The following is a 17,089-nucleotide window of genomic DNA, read 5'->3' as shown; positions in this document are numbered from 1 at the left end:
ATTGGCCTTATGTCTCTGGAAGATTCCTTCTACATTCTTGCACATTCGTGAATTTGGTTGCCTCATTGGTAACAGAATCTAAAAGGACTGATCATTCTCTCTGAAGGCCTCCTGAACCACGTGGTCCCTTATTACACGGAAAATCCTTACTGTCCTTTAATGCCCCATTCAGATGTTGCTACCCCAACCAGACCTGTCCTCTGCTCTCCTCATTCCTTCCTTTCTGCATCACAGCCAGAATAAATTCACTCTGGGCTCCTTCTGCCTCTCCCCTATGTTGCCCTTTGTCAGTGAAAATTGCTCCCGTGATGTCCTGGTGTCCTCTCTCCTAAGGCCAGAAGTTTCTTGAGGTCCAAGACTGTGTCATGTCAATGTCCAGCCCCCTCCTGCCATGAAGAGAGCCTTGAACACATTGAATGCTCAGTATCTATTTATTAAATGAATGCACAATTGAAAGAGTGAAGATTGAATGTCTAGATATTTGTTCCTCTAACCCACAAGCTCACATGCAGCAGAGCACACGAATGTGTGTGTGCCAAGGCCCCAGAGGCTGGATGCCCACATATGTGCTGATGCATGTGCCCTAGGGAGTCCCTCTTGGTTAACATCTGTTTAAAATCTCTGTCTTCTTCTTGATAGAGAAACAGCATGGTTTCCTAGACTGAATTGAAGAATGAAGGTGAGAGTACAAACAGTGGGAGAGACGTTTCCTCAGCTGTCAGAACAGGAACGACCTGGGTTATGGAAGCCCAGAAAGGGAGGAGGACTTCTTTTGGTCCCAGTGAAAGATGCTTCCAGAATCTGTAGCCTTACTTATTTGCTTGGATCTCACTGGAATAACTTGGTGGTGAGGTCACCGGTTCTGGGGTGATCACTGGGTTTGCTGCATAGATGTTTGGATAGATGACACTCACCTGGAAAACACAGGCACACAGGGGGCATGCTAAGAAGGACGGGCCATGCACCAAAGGCCTCGGACACCGAGGAACTACTCCTGCTCCTGAGCAGGCAGTGGAAAGCACAAAGAGCTCCCTTGTCTCCACCTTTTTGGGGGCATCTTTCCACCCACTGAGGAACCCTGGGACTCACATTGCTTGATTGACAGCAGACCAACTGGCAGCCAAAGTGGGAAGATGCGCATGCGATGCCAAACTCCAGGAGGCAGAAGACCAGCAGCACGCCAGAAATCGCCATTCCAGGGTTCTGTAGGCAGAGCAGATGGGGAGGACAGGAGCACGGGACTGGGAGTCCGAACTGACCTCTCACTGGGGCCCTGCCATGGACTCTTTGTGGCTTTGCGGAAGTCCCCTATCCTCTCTCAGCCTCGTGGGGGGAAATTTCCCACCGGGTTTTTGTAAGTATCAAGTATGGGGGTAAAAGAATTGTTATTGCAACATTTACTTGGTAGTGTTCCTCTGAGAAAAAAGATGACCATGTTTAGGGAAGCCCCTTGATAGGTTGCTTTGGGTGTGGAGACCTGAGGGTGTGCTCTGGAGTCAGAGAGGGGAGCAGTGACACTGCTCTGGGGAGGCCGTCGGTAGGAATTGGAGGGTATGGACAAGACACAGAGAGAACAGGGAGATGGTTAGAGGAAAAAGAAGGAGTTGAGCGCCATGGTGGGAAGGGGGAGGCCACAGGAAAAGGCCTCCTGTGAAAAATGAAGACTTCCCAAAGCAAGGATGTCTTATCTTCAGTAATCAGTGGTTTGCTGGGCTCTGATGTAAACCTCCACCATCCCTCTGAATGTGGGGAAAAGAAAGAGAGATCAGATTGTTACTGTGTCTGTGTAGAAGGAAGTAGACATAGGAGACTCCATTTTGTTCTGTACTAAGAAAAATTCTTCTGCCTCGAGCTGCTGTTAATCTGTAACCCTACCCCCAACCCTGTGCTCCCTGAAACATGTGCTGTGTCAAGTCAGGGTTAGATGGATTAAGGGTTGTGCAGGGTGTGCTTTGTTAAACAAATGCTTGAAGGCAGCACGCTTGTTAAGAGTCATCACCGGCCGGGCGCGGTGGCTCACGCCTGTAATCCCAGCACTTTGGGAGGCCGAGGCGGGTGGATCATGAGGTCAGGAGATCGAGACCATCCTGGCTAACAAGGTGAAACCCTGTCTCTACTAAAAATACAAAAAATTAGCCGGGCGCGGTGGCGGGTGCCTGTAGTCCCAGCTACTCGGGAGGCTGAGGCAGGAGAATGGCATGAACCCGGGAAGTGGAGCTTGCAGTGAGCCGAGATTGCGCCACTGCAGTCCGCAGTCCGGCCTGGGCGACAGAGCGAGACTCCGTCTCAAAAAAAAAAAAAAAAAAAAAAAAAAGAGTCATCACCACTCCCTAATCTCAAACCACTCCCTAATCTCAAGTACCCAGAGACACAAAACACTGCGGAAGGCCACAGAGACCTCTGCCTAGGAAAGCCAGGTATTTTCCAAGGTTTCTCCCCATGTGATAGTCTGAAATATGGCCTCATGGGATGGGAAAGACCTGACCGTCCCCCAGCCCAACACCCGTAAAGGGTCTGTGCTGAGGAGGATTAGTAAAAGAGGAAGGAACGGCTCTTTGCAGTTGAGGTAAGAGGAAAGCTTCTGTCTCCTGCTCGTCTCTGGGCAATGGAATGTCTCGGTGTAAAGTCCATTGTATATTCCATTTACTGAGATAGGGGAAAACTGCCTTAGGGCTGGAGGTGGGACATGCTGGCAGCAATACTGCTCCTTAAGGCATTGAGATGTTTATGTATATGCACATCAAAAGCACAGCACTTTTTTCTTTACCTTGTTTATGATGCAGAGACATTTGTTCACGTGTTTACCTTCTGACCTTCTCTCCACTATTATCCTATTACCCATGCCCAATAATGATCAATAAATACTAAGGGAACTCAGAGGCCAGTGCCCACGTGGATCCTCTGTATGCTGAACGCCGGTCCCCTAGGCCCCCTTTTTCTTTCTCTGTACTTTATCTCTGTGTCTCTTTCTTTTCCAAGTCTCTTGTTCCACCTAACGAGAAACACCCACAGGTGTGAAGGGGCAACCCACCCCTTCATCTGAACCTTTGGGAAAATGTCAGCCTCTGAAAAGACTTTCTTGGCTTGTGACAGTGGTGTTTTGTGGAGGGCAGGAATTGGGGCTGTTTCTCTGGCTTGGGAAGAACAGTCAGTGAAAGGATCCCCAAAATGAAGTAAATTAACCATAGCAGGAGGTAACCGGGAGAAATAGAAACCCTCCATTTGCTGTTACCCAAGAATACCCAGGAGTATGGAGTCTTCCAGTGTATCTGGGAAGCGAGTTTCAATCTAAAAGGTCCATCCAGGAGACTCCCATTACCATTTGGGTTCCAATTATGTGACATGAGAACATTTCATAGTGAAGGTGGATGGCATGCAGTAGGTACCAAAGAAATGCCTCTCAATTATGATTTTTTAATTTTTTTTTTTTTTGAGACAGAGTGTTGCTCTGCCACTCAGGTTGGAGAGCAGTGGCATGAGCTCAGCATTGTGAGCTCCGCCTCCTGGGTTGAAGCGATTCTCCTGCCTCAGCCTCCCGAGTAGCTGGGATTACAGGCACGCGCTACCATGCCTGGCTAATTTTTGTATATTTTGTATAGATGGGATTTCGCCATGTTGCCCAGGCTGGTCTTGAACTCCTGAGCTCAAGTGATCCACCTGCCTCGGTCTCCCAAAGTGCTGGGATTACAGGTGTGAGCCACCGTGACCGGCCTCAATTATCTCAATTATGATTTTTAAAAACAGCATTGGTGACAGCCAGATGCTTGGAGAATTCTCTCTTCTGGAGAGGCCTCTCCTTAGCCCCTTTTCTTCTCCTTCCTCTCCATTTAGCAAGTGGTTATTAAACATCTGCTTGGTAGAAGCGGCTAAGAAATGCATCCTGAGAGGCACAATCTAGTAGGAAAACAGATGCAGATGATAATTATAATTCACATCAGATAGGGTAAGAGCTACAGAACAGCAAAAAGGTATCCCAGAGCACTGAGGAGGGAGAGGTTCATTGTCATGAAGGGATTTAGAGAGGGTGAGGGTAGAGGCAGTTGTCCCAGGAAAAGGGGAGTGCAGGATGTCTAAGTCAACGGATCACAGAGACTTAGAGTAGAATGGCCTGGGCAAAGTATGCTGGTCTTTTTCAATTTTTTTTAAATAAAATTTTTTTACACATAAAATATTTCATGGAAAAGGGGTCCCTCAAGCAGCTGAGATTTTTTTTATTTGATGAAAAATAATTCCTGATGTGGAAACCCCGGAGTATCTCCATTCCTTGGGTCATTATTTGCAAAGCTCAGATGCAGTCCGACCCTCCATGTTCAGATGGGATGACTGAGGCTTGAAGGTGGAATGGGTGGTGGGCATGGGGCGAGTTCTCATTCCAAGATCAATCATTGGCAGAACTAAGATTAAAAGCCAAGTTTTCTGAATCAAAAATTGCTGCTCCCTCTACTCCAGGGCACCTGGCTGTGCTGCTTGGGGTTTAGTCTTTCCTAAACTCTTCTCCCATCTTCCTTTCCCTTAGTTCCTCCACCAGCATTTGCTTCTTAATTTCTTCTATTGGGCAGTCCATGCCTCCCTGATTGGTTCTTTCCCAGCAGGAAAATTCCCAAGTACTCGCTTGTGCCTGTCTCTCGCAGTGGACGGGAGTAGCTGGGGTTCAGGGTGAGTGAGAGATTCGAAGGGAGGTGAACTGTAGGGCACAGTGAGATAGAGCCAGATCCCCCAGGGAGGGCAAATACCTGGCTGAGGAATTTGGACTTTAATCCTAAAGTATCTGGGAGCCATAAAATGTTTCTGGGAGGGGAGAAACTCAAGGTACTTTTGATAAATGACATGGACTTGGTCCATAGGATCTCTAGGGAGAGGCTTTGCCTAAGAATCTTGGAAAGATAAGTCTTTAAGTCTCTTGAAGATAAAAGGATCTGGTCAAATACAAACAACAGTTAATGGCTGTTGATGTTTACTGAGTATGCATCACAGCTGGCACATTCATTTATTCCTTGACAAATGCTTATGAAGTGTCAACCGTGTGCCAGACACAGTTCTAGGTATTTGAGGTATGACAGTGAGTGAAACCAAAAACATCCCTGTCCTTAAGAATCTCATTCTAGGGACAGGCAGTAAGCATGAAATGTAACAAATAAGTCAGTTGCAGAGGGTGTTAGATGCATAGACTACAGGAAAGATAGATAAGGGGAAGGGAAGCGGGTTACTGGGAGAGTGTGGGTGTTGGGTTGTTCAGGTAGGCCTCATTGGGAAGGTGGTTGCAGATTAGTGATCTGAAGGAGGTGAGGAAGGGACAGAGGAAGCTGTGGGAACATCTGAGGGAAGAGTTCCCCAGTCGGAGGGAACATTCCAGGCCCAAAGGTGGAAAGATGCCTGGAGTGTTGGAGAAAACATCATGGAGGTTCCCGTGGTTCAGCAGCAGAACCAGAGGATGGCAGCAGAGCCAGGGGCGGGGGGCACCAGAGGGCCAGCATCTTCAGGCTGCTGGAAGGACATTGGCTTTTTTTCTGAGTAAGATGCCAGCAGAGAAGTGATGGGATCTTGTGTTTCCAAAGGATCCCTCTGGTGGCCATGCTATAAACAGCTGCAGTGAGCCCAGAGTAGGAGAAAGGGAACAGTCAGGAGGCTGTTTCCATGATTAGATGAGAGATGCGGTGGCTCAGGCCAGCGTGGGAGTAGAGGGGCTGGGGGAAAATGGTGGGATTCTGAATGCATTTTGAAAGTAGAACCAACAGGATTGCCCGAGGGATTGGCTGTGAGGTGTGAGAGAAAGACAGGGTCAATGACGACTCCAAGGTTTTGTCCCGAGCAACTGGAAGGATGGAGTTGCCATCAACTGGAATCAGGAAAACTGAGTAGAGAAGGTTTGGGAAGTGAAATCTGGAGATCAGACTTGGATGTATGAACTATGAGCTATTGAGTTGACCATTGGACATGCTAGACTGGTGTATAGGGGAGAAGATTTGGCTGGAGCCATGTATTCTAGAACAATTGTCATAGACAAGGTGTTTCAAGTTGCCAGACTAAATGAGATAGACAAATGAGTACAGAAAGAAAACCAGAGAACCAATTATTGAGCCTAAGAGATTGGGAAAAACAGAACTAGCAGAGGAGACAGAGAAGAGGGCAACCAGTGAGGGTGGAGCCTGGAAGTCAAGCAAAGTCCCTCCGAGAAGAAGGATCAATCACCCCATTGGGGATTTGGAGAAGAGCAGGTGTTTAGGGAAGTGAGGCTGAAAGTCTAATTGGAGCAGGTTCAGAGAGAATATGAGAGAAGAGGATTGGACTCACTAAAGTGTAGACAATTCTTTTAAGAATTTGTCTGCAAAGAGGGCCAGAGAGATACAGTGGTAGTGGATAAAGGAAGTACAACGAAGAGGAGGTGGGTTGGTTTGTTTTTTAAGAAACAAAAGCATGCTTAATGCTGATGCAAAAGCCCCAGCAAAGGGGGAAAGACTGATGATGTAGAGGAGAGACGGGATGAGGGAGAGGGGAGGAGAACTTGAGCAGGTAGGAGAGGAGGGACTCAGTTGCGCAGACAGAGGATTGAATTTACGTGGGACACAGGTAGCTCATCTGTAGCTGCCCTGTTCTATTCAGCAACCACAATTCCCATGTGGCTTTTAAACACTTGAGATGTAGCTGGTCCCAAATCGAGATGTGCCATAGCACAAAATATAAACTGGATTTCAAAGATTTAGTTCCCCAAATGCAAAATAGCAAACCAAGTTTTTATACTGATTACATGTTGAAATGACAATATTTTAGATATACGGGGTTAAATAAAATAGATTATTAAAATCAATTTCACCTGTTGCTTTCACTCTCTCTCTCTTTTAAATGTGGCAACTAGAAAATTTAAAATAACATGTGGCTTGCATATTTCTATTGGACAGTGCTAGTGTATAGCAGAGGTGGGTGAATTATGATCCATGGGTCAAATCCTGCCTGCTGCCTGTTTTGTAAATAAAGTTTTATCAGAACACAGCCATATTCATTTGTTTAGTGCTTTCTGTGGCTGCTGTAAGGCAGCTATAGCTACATGACAGAGACTGTAGGCCTGCAAAACCTTAACTGCTTACTATTGGCTCTTTAGAGAATAAGTTTGCTAACCTCTGGCTTATAGTAATGGGCAAGAAGGCAGAGAATGTGAGGAGAGGTGCTGGTTGGTGGGCACATATGCATTCTTTGTAAAATTGCATTTAATTCTCTCAACATTGCCACAAGGTAGGTATTGTTCTACAAAGGCAGAAACCCAAACTGGGAAAGGTCATGTGCTTAAAGCTATGGGTCAAGGACTTTAAAATTTGTTCCTATGCTGAAAGCACCTCCTTTTCCTACCATGTTCAGTGAGGTAGCTTGGTTGTCAAGCCCTTTCTGGGAGTTTTCTAAATGTAGCTAATTCAGAACTTAGAGGATCTTTGGTTGAGAGGGATACTCACCACACCCCAGGCGTAAGGATAATAGTCGGGGTAGGCATATGGGTGGGGAATACTTAGATCTGTGATGAAGAGTATGACTCCAACTGCAGAGCAGATTGCACTGACGATGTTCAAGCCCAAACTGCCAGACAGCTGAAGAAGACACAGAGGGTCAGGATGGGCGAGAAAAGCTGTTATAGCTGAGATGAATGGAGACCCAACAAGTGTTTCTTTTTCCCCCCAATTTCTAAAATTGTGTTAACATATATGTAACATAAAATTTAACATCCTAATCATTTTCAAGTGTTACAGTTCAGTAGCATTAAACACATCTACAATGCTGTGCAACCATTGCCACCATCCATCTCTATAACTCTTTTCATCAAAAAGTGTTTCTTAATGTGAATCCCAGGAACCCTATTTCCACTGCAAGTAAAGGGGTGTTCTGTGCAAGAAAGGTTTTGGGGTAAGTTAGCTTTGAAAATAGCTGGGTTGGGCAAAGGTAAACAGATCATCGTGGTGGGACTTCTCAGAGCCTTTAATGAGGACTTTAGATCTTTCAGAGAGGAAACAATACATAGAGATTTTCCCAAGTTCATGTAACTATCTTCATTGAGCATATCATGGGAGAAGTGTTCTCAAGAATAATCTTTGGGGCTGGACGCGGATGCTCACATCTGTAATCCCAGCACTTTGGGAGGCTGAGGCAGGTGGATCACCTGAGGTCAGGAGTTCAAGACCAGCCTGGCCAAAATGGCAAAACTCCGTCTCTACCAAAATACCAAAAAATACAAAAAATACAATAATTAGCTGGGCATGGTGGTGTGCACCTGTAATCCCAGCTACTAGGGAGGCTGAGGCAGGAGAATTGCTTGAACCCAGGAGGCAGATGCTGCAGTGAGTTGAGATCAAACCACTGCATTCCAGCCTGGGGGACACAGTGAGACTCTGTCTCACACACACACACAAAAAAAAAAAAAAAAAAAAAAAGAAAAAGAAAAAGAAAAAAGAATAATCTCTGGGAAACACTTGACCTATTTGTCCCATAGGATAAATAGAATCTTAGCCCAAGTGTCTTGGGATGTGATAAGCTCAGATGCTCCATGATTCTGGGCCATGTGCAGAAAGATACGCTTCCACATTTTGAGCTTTCTTTTGAAGACTTTCAAATAGATCTCATCTGGTTGTAGGGACCTGGTCACCCTTTACCCTTCGTAACCTGATTATGAGACAAATGAAGGTATTTCTTGGTCTGTTGCTAGGGGAGCACAAAGCTTTGTCCATGTTGATTATCAGAGTTCTGTTGGCTGGATTCCTTAGGAAAGCGAGTGACTGAGCCTCCTTCGGCTTCCCCGGAGTCCTCTTCTCTGTACTGGAAGTACTCTTGGCTCCTGGTCTGCTAGAGGGCAGCCCTGGGCCCCTGGGAGCTCTGTGCCTCTCTGTGGCAGGGCTTCTTAGGAAAGCTGTTATCTCTCTCTCTCTCTCTCTCTCTCGCTCTCCATACTCTGATGCCTTAACTAAGGTGACTGTATTGCCCCTTCTCACTTCTGCATCCTCTTGGGACTTTTCCACATGTGACTCCAGGGCCAGGCTCCTGTGGCCAGTCTGTATGAGCGGGAATGTGTGTGAGCACCGTGTGTCTGGTTATAGTAGGTGCAAGGCTGGGGGAGGAATCGTATGTGACCTTATTTTCCCCTTTGTGACACCATTCTATAGGTCTCCAGTTGGAAGAGCTGGTCTCAGAATGTAACTTACCAGGCAATAAGAATATGGCTGATTTTCTGCTGCCACGGAGAGAGATCCTGAAATGATAAACTGGTACAGAACAGAGTGGGTTTAGAAAGAGGTCAGGGGCTAGGGTGCCCTTCCCCAGGCTTCTGTGATTCTGGTCACACACAGTGGGTACCTTTGCTGGAACCATCAGCTCAACATGGGCAACAGAAAAAATGAGCTGTTTTGCACTGCCTGAAAAGGCACTGGGGTGGGATAAATATATATTCTAGGATCCAGCAAACCTGGTTTTAAATTCTGGCTAGAAACTCTTGACCTTGGGTAAGTTATTAACTTCTCTAAGTCTTTATTTCCTCATCTACAAAATGGAAAAATTTATAGCTCTTCCCAAGTGTCATTGTCATGAGACAACTTATGCCCTACATCTGGCATTTAGTATATCTTTACACTTAGTAGATGCTCAAATGTTGGATTATTTCCTTGTATTTTATTTTCCCACAAGTACACCCTATTGTTTTCCAATCTTTATATCAAGATTCAGTTAGGTTTGGGGGCTCTGGAGGGGAGAAGGAAGGGGTTACCAGCGTCTTCTCTGCTGCTTTTAGATAGAAGCCTGACATCAATCCTTGCCTGCCTGCATATCTGGACAAATAACTTTTAGTTACTCAGATAAACATTGTGTCGCTATGATGCTGAACATCAAATACGAGGATGATGATGTCAATTGCGTGCATTTCATCCAACATGGTATTCCGCAGGCACTGTGGCTGATGGGATTGCCTGCCATCATTTGCCCAGTGGGCTAGCAAGAGTGGTATGAGAGGGCATGAGCTATATTTAATAGGAGCTACCATTTGTGGGGCACTATAGAAAATGCTTTTTTAGAAAAGGCTTCATTGACATATAATTCATGTATCATATAATTCACCCATTTAAAGTATATTATGCAATTATTTTTAGTATATTTATAAAGTTGTGCAATCATCACTACAATGTAAGTTAGAACATTTGCAACGGCCCCAAAAGAAGCCACGTACCGACTAGCAACCCATCACCGCCCTCCCCCCAACAGATGAAGTACTTGTTCAACCTCGCCTCATTTAACCACATGGTGGCCCATCAAGCAGTATTACTCTTGCCATTTTATCAATGAGGAGACTGAGGCTTAGAGATTTTGAACAACTCACACAACATCATCCAGCGGAGTTTTCATTGTAAATAAGTGTTTCCACTCTATGGCACATGCATTTGAGAATCAAATCCAGACAGCTTGATTTCAGACTCCATGTTCCTAACCCTCACTCCATACTCCCTCCCACCCACGGCAGATGCATGTGCCATAGAGTGGACATAGTTATTTACAGTGAAAACTTATTCCAGCTGTTTCTGCCTTCCAAGGCCAAGGCCATATTCTCCTATGAGTGGAAAAACAAATCTCAGGCTCACACCCTTCTGTTTATAGAGATTTGATGGGGAGGAAGGGCTGGACTTTTGGTATCCCTCTCAGTCCTTCTGAGGTGCCAGAGGAGATGAGCCTTTGTTTCAGAAGAGGATATTGATGATCTTTGGGAAATAGAAAGACAGTCCTGGGATCAAGAAGGCAGCAAAGAGCACAACTGCCCTGCAGAGCAAAAGGAGGAAGGTCATGAGGGCTGAAGGGACTCAGCAGCCTGGTGGGAGGAGGCGTGGTCAGTGAGGCATTTGAGATGCCAGGACAACTGCCTGCTGCTCACTGGCACTTGGTGGAATCCAGTGCTCCGTGGTAGGCATTGTGTGCTCAATGGTAGGCCTGGGTGGCCGTGATGCTAGCCCTCTCCATAGCCCCACATTCCACGAAGGTCAGAGATACAGGAACAGGTATCTTGTGAGTGGTTGTGGGAGGGAAAGGGGCTGAGTTCTGAGTTTGGGTGTGTGCAGAGCCTCGCTAGAGGAGCCCTGTTCATTTGCAGAACTTGTGTGGCTGTCGGGGATGGAGATAGCTCTAGGCTATTTTATTTAACTCTTATAAGGTAGAGGGACTTGGGCTGGCACCTAGGTTACTCTGGAGTTGTGCCATTTATGAGGAAAGTTGCATTAGTGTCACATGTAGGTGTGTGAGTCAGGAGGAAGACTGTAACAGAAGGGAGAGAAAGGAGAAAGGAAGGTGGAGAGGGGAGGAGAAGGAGAGAGAGAGAGAGTGTGTGTGTGTATGTGTGTGTGTGTGTATGTGTGTTTGTTTGTATGTGTGTGTGTGTATGTGTGTGTGTGTGTGTGTGTGTGGGCAGGGGGACACTGCAAAGGAACCATAAAGGTAATAAACTGATGTGGAAGAAGGACTGTAGTTCTTAACACTTTATGGAGTCACGGATCACTCTGATAATCTGATGAAAGCTATGGACCCTTCCAGAAAAATAATACACATTTAGCATATTAGGTATTTTGCCAAAATGGAGCCCCCAAAGCCCATCTGCAGATCTAGATTGAGTCCCCAGTGCTCAAGCACTCAAACCCTTGCTGTTCTACAGCTGGGAAGCCACTCTTCACCTTTGCTGAGTGTTTTTCTCCTGGAGCTCAGGCTTGTGGGCCTATGTCCAACAATGCCAGGGGCTATTCCCAGTGTATTTTTTACATGTGGATGTTTTCTTTGTGAATTAAGAAAACACATCCCTTTTGGCCGGGTGTGGTGGCTCACACCTGTAATCCCAGCACTTTGGGAGGCTGAGGCAAGTGGATCACCTGAGGTCAGGAGTTTGAGACCAGCCTGGCCAACGTGGTGAAATCTTGTCACTACTAAAAATACAAAAATTAGCCGGGCGTGGTGGTGCGCGTCTGTAATCCCAGCTACTAGGGAGGCTGAGGCAGGAGAATTGCTTGAATCCGGGAGGGGGAGGTTGCGGTGAGCCGAGATTGCACCACTGCGCTCCAGCTTGGGCGACAGAGTGAGACTCCATCTCAAAAAAAAAAAAAAAAAAAAAAGTAAAAAGAAAATACATCCCTTTTGAGGGGATGTCACCTTGCGGGGTTGTAGCTTGATATTATGGGCTGAATTGTGTCCACACCCTCTATCCCCCACCAAATTTCGTAGATTGAAGCCCTAATCTGTAGTGCTCCAGAATCTGACTGTGTTTGGAGATAGGGTTGTTAAAACCGTCATTCAGGTTAAATGAGGTCATCAGGGGGGACCCTAATCCAAAATGACTGGTGTCCTCATAGGAAGAGGAGACTAGGGCACAGGCATGGAGGAAGGCCGTGGAAAGGCTCAGGGAGAAGACGACCTTCTGCAAGCCAAGGAGAGAGACCTTAGGGGAAAACATCTGCTAACATCTCCATCGCAGACTTTCAGCCGCCAGAACTGTGAGATAACAAATTTCTGTTGTTTAAGCCATCCAACCTGTGGTGCTATACTCTGTTGGGCCGGCCCTACCAAACTAATATGCTTGCGGAACGAGGCCAGGGCTGGCTGGTTTCCTATCCCCCACATTTGGGTGGCTGGGAACCTTCTGCAGGGCACAGCTGCACAACTTGGCAAGGTGGCCTTGAGTGCCTTGGCACCTTCTGGGAGCTCATCGGCAGGAGGACTTGAGTTACTCACCCACAAGCCTCCCCAGAAGGGAAAGCCTCCGTAGAATGAAATAGACAGGTATTCCCCTACGAGAACCGTCGCCATGATGGAGCCGAGGCCGATGTGAGCCAGGCCAATGATGATCTGGATGGCCTGTCAGGAGAGCCACAAGCTGAAGTCTTGTTTCTGAGGCTGGGTCCTGCCTCCCCTATGAGCCTCCTTTTAATTTTAATAAATGTTTTATTTTCATGGTCTAAAAAGTAATATGGGAAATACAAAAATGAAATAAAAACTACCTGTAATCTCCCCTCCGCCTGGAGAAAACAACTGTTTACATTTTGGTGTATTCTCCCATTATTCTTTTCAAATATATACCTTGATAGCACAACATGGCCCCCTGAATTTTATTAACTTAATATTTCATCATGAATGTGTCCTCATGGCATTAAGTATTCTTGGAACATATGTTTTTTCAGGGCTGCTCAGATCCCATTATGGATGGTCTGTGGAGTAGTTGAGACAGAGTTATTGGACAGGTAAGATTATTTCTACTTTTTTCTATTATATGTAACATTGTGATAAACATCCTTCTATGTAAATCTTTGCCTTCATCTCTTATTTCTTTAGGATATTGTTATGTGTTAAATTATGCTCCCCTCCCCCAACCCTCCTCCAAATTCATGTGTTGAAATTCTAATGCTGAGTGCCTCAGAATGTGACTCTATTTGAAAACAGAGTTGTTGCAGATATAATCAGCCAAGATGAGGTCACACTGGAGTAGAGTGGGTCTCCAATCCAATATGATTGGTGTCCTTATAAAAAATGCCATGTGGGCCAGGCACAGTGGCTCACACCTGTAATCTCAGCACTTTGGGAAGCTGAGACGGGCGGATCACAGGTCAGGAGTTCAAGACCAGCCTGGCCAACATGGTGAAACCCTGTCTCTACAAAAATACAAAAACTAGCTCGGCATGATGGTGGGTGCCTGTAATCCCAGCTACTTGGGAGGCTGAGGCGGGAGAATCGCTTAAACCCAGGAGGCAGAGGTTGCAGTGAGCCAAGACTGCGCCACTGCGCTCCAGCCTGGGTGACAGAGTGAGACTCTGTCTCAAAAAAACAAAGTTTTCAACTTTATTATGGTGTGAAAGTGACATGAATTCAGTAGAAACCGTATTTGGAGTACCCATACAATCATTCTGCTTTTCATTTTCAGTCCAGTGTTCAGTAAACTACATTAGATATTCAAGAACACTATTAAATAGGCTTTGTGTTAGATGATTTTGCCCAGCTGTAAGCTAACCTAAGTGTTCTGAACTTGTTTAAGGTAGGCGAGGCTAAGCTATGATGTTTGGTAGGCTACATGTATTAAATGTATTTTTTACTTATGATATTTTTAATTTACGATGGGTACACTGGGACATAATCCCATTGTAAATGAAAGAACATCTGTGTATGTTTGTATATTACACACGTGGTAGCAAATACAAATATATTACTTCCTTAAATTCACATAAATGTAAGCAAATTATACACAGTGTCTGCCCCTTACTTTCTTCCATTAACTCCATATCTTGGGGTGTGTCCCTATCATTACACAAAGAGCTTTCTTGTTCTTTTCATAGCTCCACTACATTTTATTCTTTGGATGCACTGACTTAACCAGTATATTACACTGACTTAACCAATATACTGACTTAACCGGTATTATATTGATGGATATTACAATATTTTTGTTATCACAAACCACGCTGCAATGAATAAGCTCATACATATCACAGTTTTTGTGGGCACAGGCATATCTGGAGGATGAAGTTCCAGCAATGGAATTATTGGATATTTTGTAAATTTGGCAGATACAAATTTCCCTCCCTAAGGGTTGTATCAATTTTTGTTCCCATGAGCACTATCTGAGGGTGGAGCTAGGGTTGGAGCTCGGGCAGTCTGCATCCAAATTCATGCCCATCATTCAGCTACACAGTGAAATGGGCCTTTCTTTGTCCAGCGCAGGACAGCCTCTCAGGGGTTGCGGTGACCATTTATGTTGTTGGTTGCCTAACCTGCTTTGTTTCCTGTTGGGCAAATATTTGATTCGATCTTATTGGATTCTGACTCCACCTTGTGGTCTATTTTGGTCTTGCTGGGACCCCTTTCTTCAGAGGCCACAGGGCTGGGCGTGGATCCTGGCAACAGGATCAACCTTCAAGCGTGCTGCTTTTTTGTTGCTTTTCTTTCTCTTTCCGAAAATGCCTAAATCAGAAAATACAAGGTCTGAGCAGAGGCCGCCTGTGATGTTGTGCAGCTGAGCTTTCTAATAGACCTGTGCTTGGCAAGGCGCGATCAACTCAGCCCCACTTGCGGGATGTAGTGTTTGTGTATTTCCCAGGCCTTCCCTTCCCCCTGCCATCACTCCAGCTGTGCAGTCTGTGGCCTGCAAAGGGAAATCTCACTTACCCCCAAGGTTTTGCCTTCTTTCAGAGCTTTCTGCACAGGCTGCCCATTCACATTCGACACCAAACTAGGTGGGTTCCCAGGAACTAGGTGGACTTGCGGCTGGCTGTTTGGATACAGGGGCACGTGAGACATAATTCCTGGGGTCACAGGATAACCATTGTGGGGTGCCACCACCAACACAGAATTGGCCACCGGAACTGCTGAAGTCATCGAATTCATGCTGCCAAGAAATAAATGCGAGAGAATTTTCCCTCACATATGGACTTGTCCTTTAAAAAGGACTTTTGCTTCTTCTAGCTCATTGGAGCATCTTAACCCTCTACAAGTTTATGAATCCCATGTTACAAATAATAGATATCAGTTATAGGGCACTTAAGAGGTGCTTTACAAATACATTTCCTTTCATCCTCTCACCCGCCCAGTTTTACAGATGAGAAAACTAAGACTCAAAGAGGCTAAAGGCTACCAGAGGGCAAGGGGTCCATCTTTTCCATCTTTGTGTCTCTCATAGTGTTTATTTTTTAATTTTTTTTTGAGACAGAGTCTGGCTCTGTCACCCAGGCTGGAGTGCAGTGGTACGATCTTGGCTCACTGCAACCTCCGCCTCCCAGGTTCAAGCAATTCTCCTGCCTCAGCCTCCTGAGTATCTGGGATTACAGGCCCCCGCCACCACACCCAGCTAATTTTTGTATTTTTAGTAGAGATGGGGTTTCCCCCTGTTGGCCAGGCTGGTCTCGAACTCCTGACCTCAGGCGATCCGCTTGCCTCGGCCTCCCAAAGTGCTGGGATTACAGATGTGAACCACCGCACCCGGCCTCTCATAGTGTTTAGAGTGCTGCTTTGCATATGTTAGTACTGGCTGAAAGCAAAAGTTCAGAACTAGAAAATCTCTTGGACAACATTGAGTTCAATTCTCTCATTTTCTGGAAAAGGAAACAGGGTGAGAGAGTGGACAAGAATCCTCCAAGGTCCCAGGTATGTCAATATTAGTTAAATGGAGATTATCCTTCTCAAGGGAAGCCCCATTGCCAAGGCAGTGTCTGTTCATTGGGTGGCTTCCACTGCTCAATTTTCTAGGCTACTTATACATTCTAATGTGGTTTTAAAAATTCTTTTTCTTTTTGTTTCTCCCATCCCCCTCCATGTCCTATCTTTCTCTTTCTTTCTCTTGGAGCAGACTCAATAAAGCTAGTACAATACACTCTGTCTATCCCTCATCCACACTGGTTCGCCGTAAGTCTCACTTGGTAGAAAAACCTTATCACCAACTCCCAGTTACCAACCACCAGATTAAGCAGACTCACCTTGCTCTGCCAGCAGCCACGTATCTCTTGATCCTATTCCTTTTCTTTGCTGTGGGGACCTTGTTTTTTTTCCTGAGAGAATGAATGTACTGGGGCCAGTTGGGTGGTAGGGTTAGAAGGATCCGAAGTCCTCTATTTCCTGGATGCAGGCCAGGTTACATGCTGCTTAGAGCTCAGTTTCATTCGTATTTATTTCCTGTTTTGGTTAATGAGCCAGTTAAATATGGTTTGATTTGACAAGAGTCTATGGTATAATCTCCATGGAGAAGAAAGGGTTGGGCTGGTTGCTCTGGGAGACACAGAAATGAACTGGGCACCCAGGGTGTGCTGTATTTAGCTGTAACATGAGACAGGATGAAATAAACACCACAGAAGAGAGATAAATGTCCCCACAGGAGAACAGAGGAGAAAATGATTTGTTGGACTTGAAGAGATTAGGGAAGACTTCAAACAGAAGGTGGCATATGAAATCAATAAACTGCAGTCCAGAAAGGGATAGAATCACAGCGAGTGAAATGAGACTTGTAATCAACTTAGATCTATTTTCATCCAAGTCAGAGCCAATAGAAAATCAGAAGCCATCCATGGGAGGGCATTCCACATATCTATGACATACATCGTGTGAATTGCACAGTACAAAA

General features: G+C 45.6%; 1 protein-coding gene and 1 long non-coding RNA gene across 2 annotated transcripts in view, besides 2 other annotated features; one reads left to right on the top strand and one right to left on the bottom strand.

Moving 5' to 3' along the window:
• Window positions 1–416: 416 nt before the first annotated feature.
• Window positions 417–16,612, bottom strand: MS4A8 (membrane spanning 4-domains A8). The gene is made up of 7 exons (NM_031457.2): window positions 16,449–16,612; window positions 15,145–15,364; window positions 12,724–12,846; window positions 9,177–9,236; window positions 7,443–7,574; window positions 1,090–1,203; window positions 417–914 (listed from the first exon to the last, which is right to left on the bottom strand). The coding sequence occupies exons 2-7, from the start codon at window positions 15,361–15,363 to the stop codon at window positions 810–812; spliced, it is 753 nt and encodes a 250-aa protein (NP_113645.1). The 5' UTR covers window position 15,364; window positions 16,449–16,612; the 3' UTR covers window positions 417–809.
• The window catches only part of LOC105369321 (uncharacterized), a 95,635-nt gene continuing 90,840 nt past the window's right edge, over window positions 12,295–17,089 (top strand). Inside the window, exons 1-2 of the long non-coding RNA XR_001748240.2 lie at window positions 12,295–12,485; window positions 13,170–13,229. This is a non-coding gene — a long non-coding RNA (uncharacterized LOC105369321). The remainder of the gene's footprint in view (window positions 12,486–13,169; window positions 13,230–17,089) is intronic.
• Window positions 14,567–15,066: an enhancer, noted in NCBI's record as "H3K4me1 hESC enhancer chr11:60468631-60469130 (GRCh37/hg19 assembly coordinates)". NCBI's record gives its function as "activates a minimal SCP1, AML or CMV promoter by ChIP-STARR-seq in primed H9 embryonic stem cells {active_cell/tissue: H9 hESC(primed)}" and the evidence as "EXISTENCE:reporter gene assay evidence [ECO:0000049][PMID:30033119]".
• Window positions 15,067–15,568: an enhancer, noted in NCBI's record as "H3K4me1 hESC enhancer chr11:60468129-60468630 (GRCh37/hg19 assembly coordinates)". NCBI's record gives its function as "activates a minimal SCP1, AML or CMV promoter by ChIP-STARR-seq in primed H9 embryonic stem cells {active_cell/tissue: H9 hESC(primed)}" and the evidence as "EXISTENCE:reporter gene assay evidence [ECO:0000049][PMID:30033119]".

Source organism: Homo sapiens, chromosome 11 (assembly GCF_000001405.40).
Source record: "Homo sapiens chromosome 11, GRCh38.p14 Primary Assembly".
Lineage (NCBI taxonomy): Eukaryota > Metazoa > Chordata > Mammalia > Primates > Hominidae > Homo > Homo sapiens.
The sequence above is the reverse complement of the archived record's forward strand: the minus strand, read 5'-3'. Positions and strand labels throughout refer to the sequence as shown.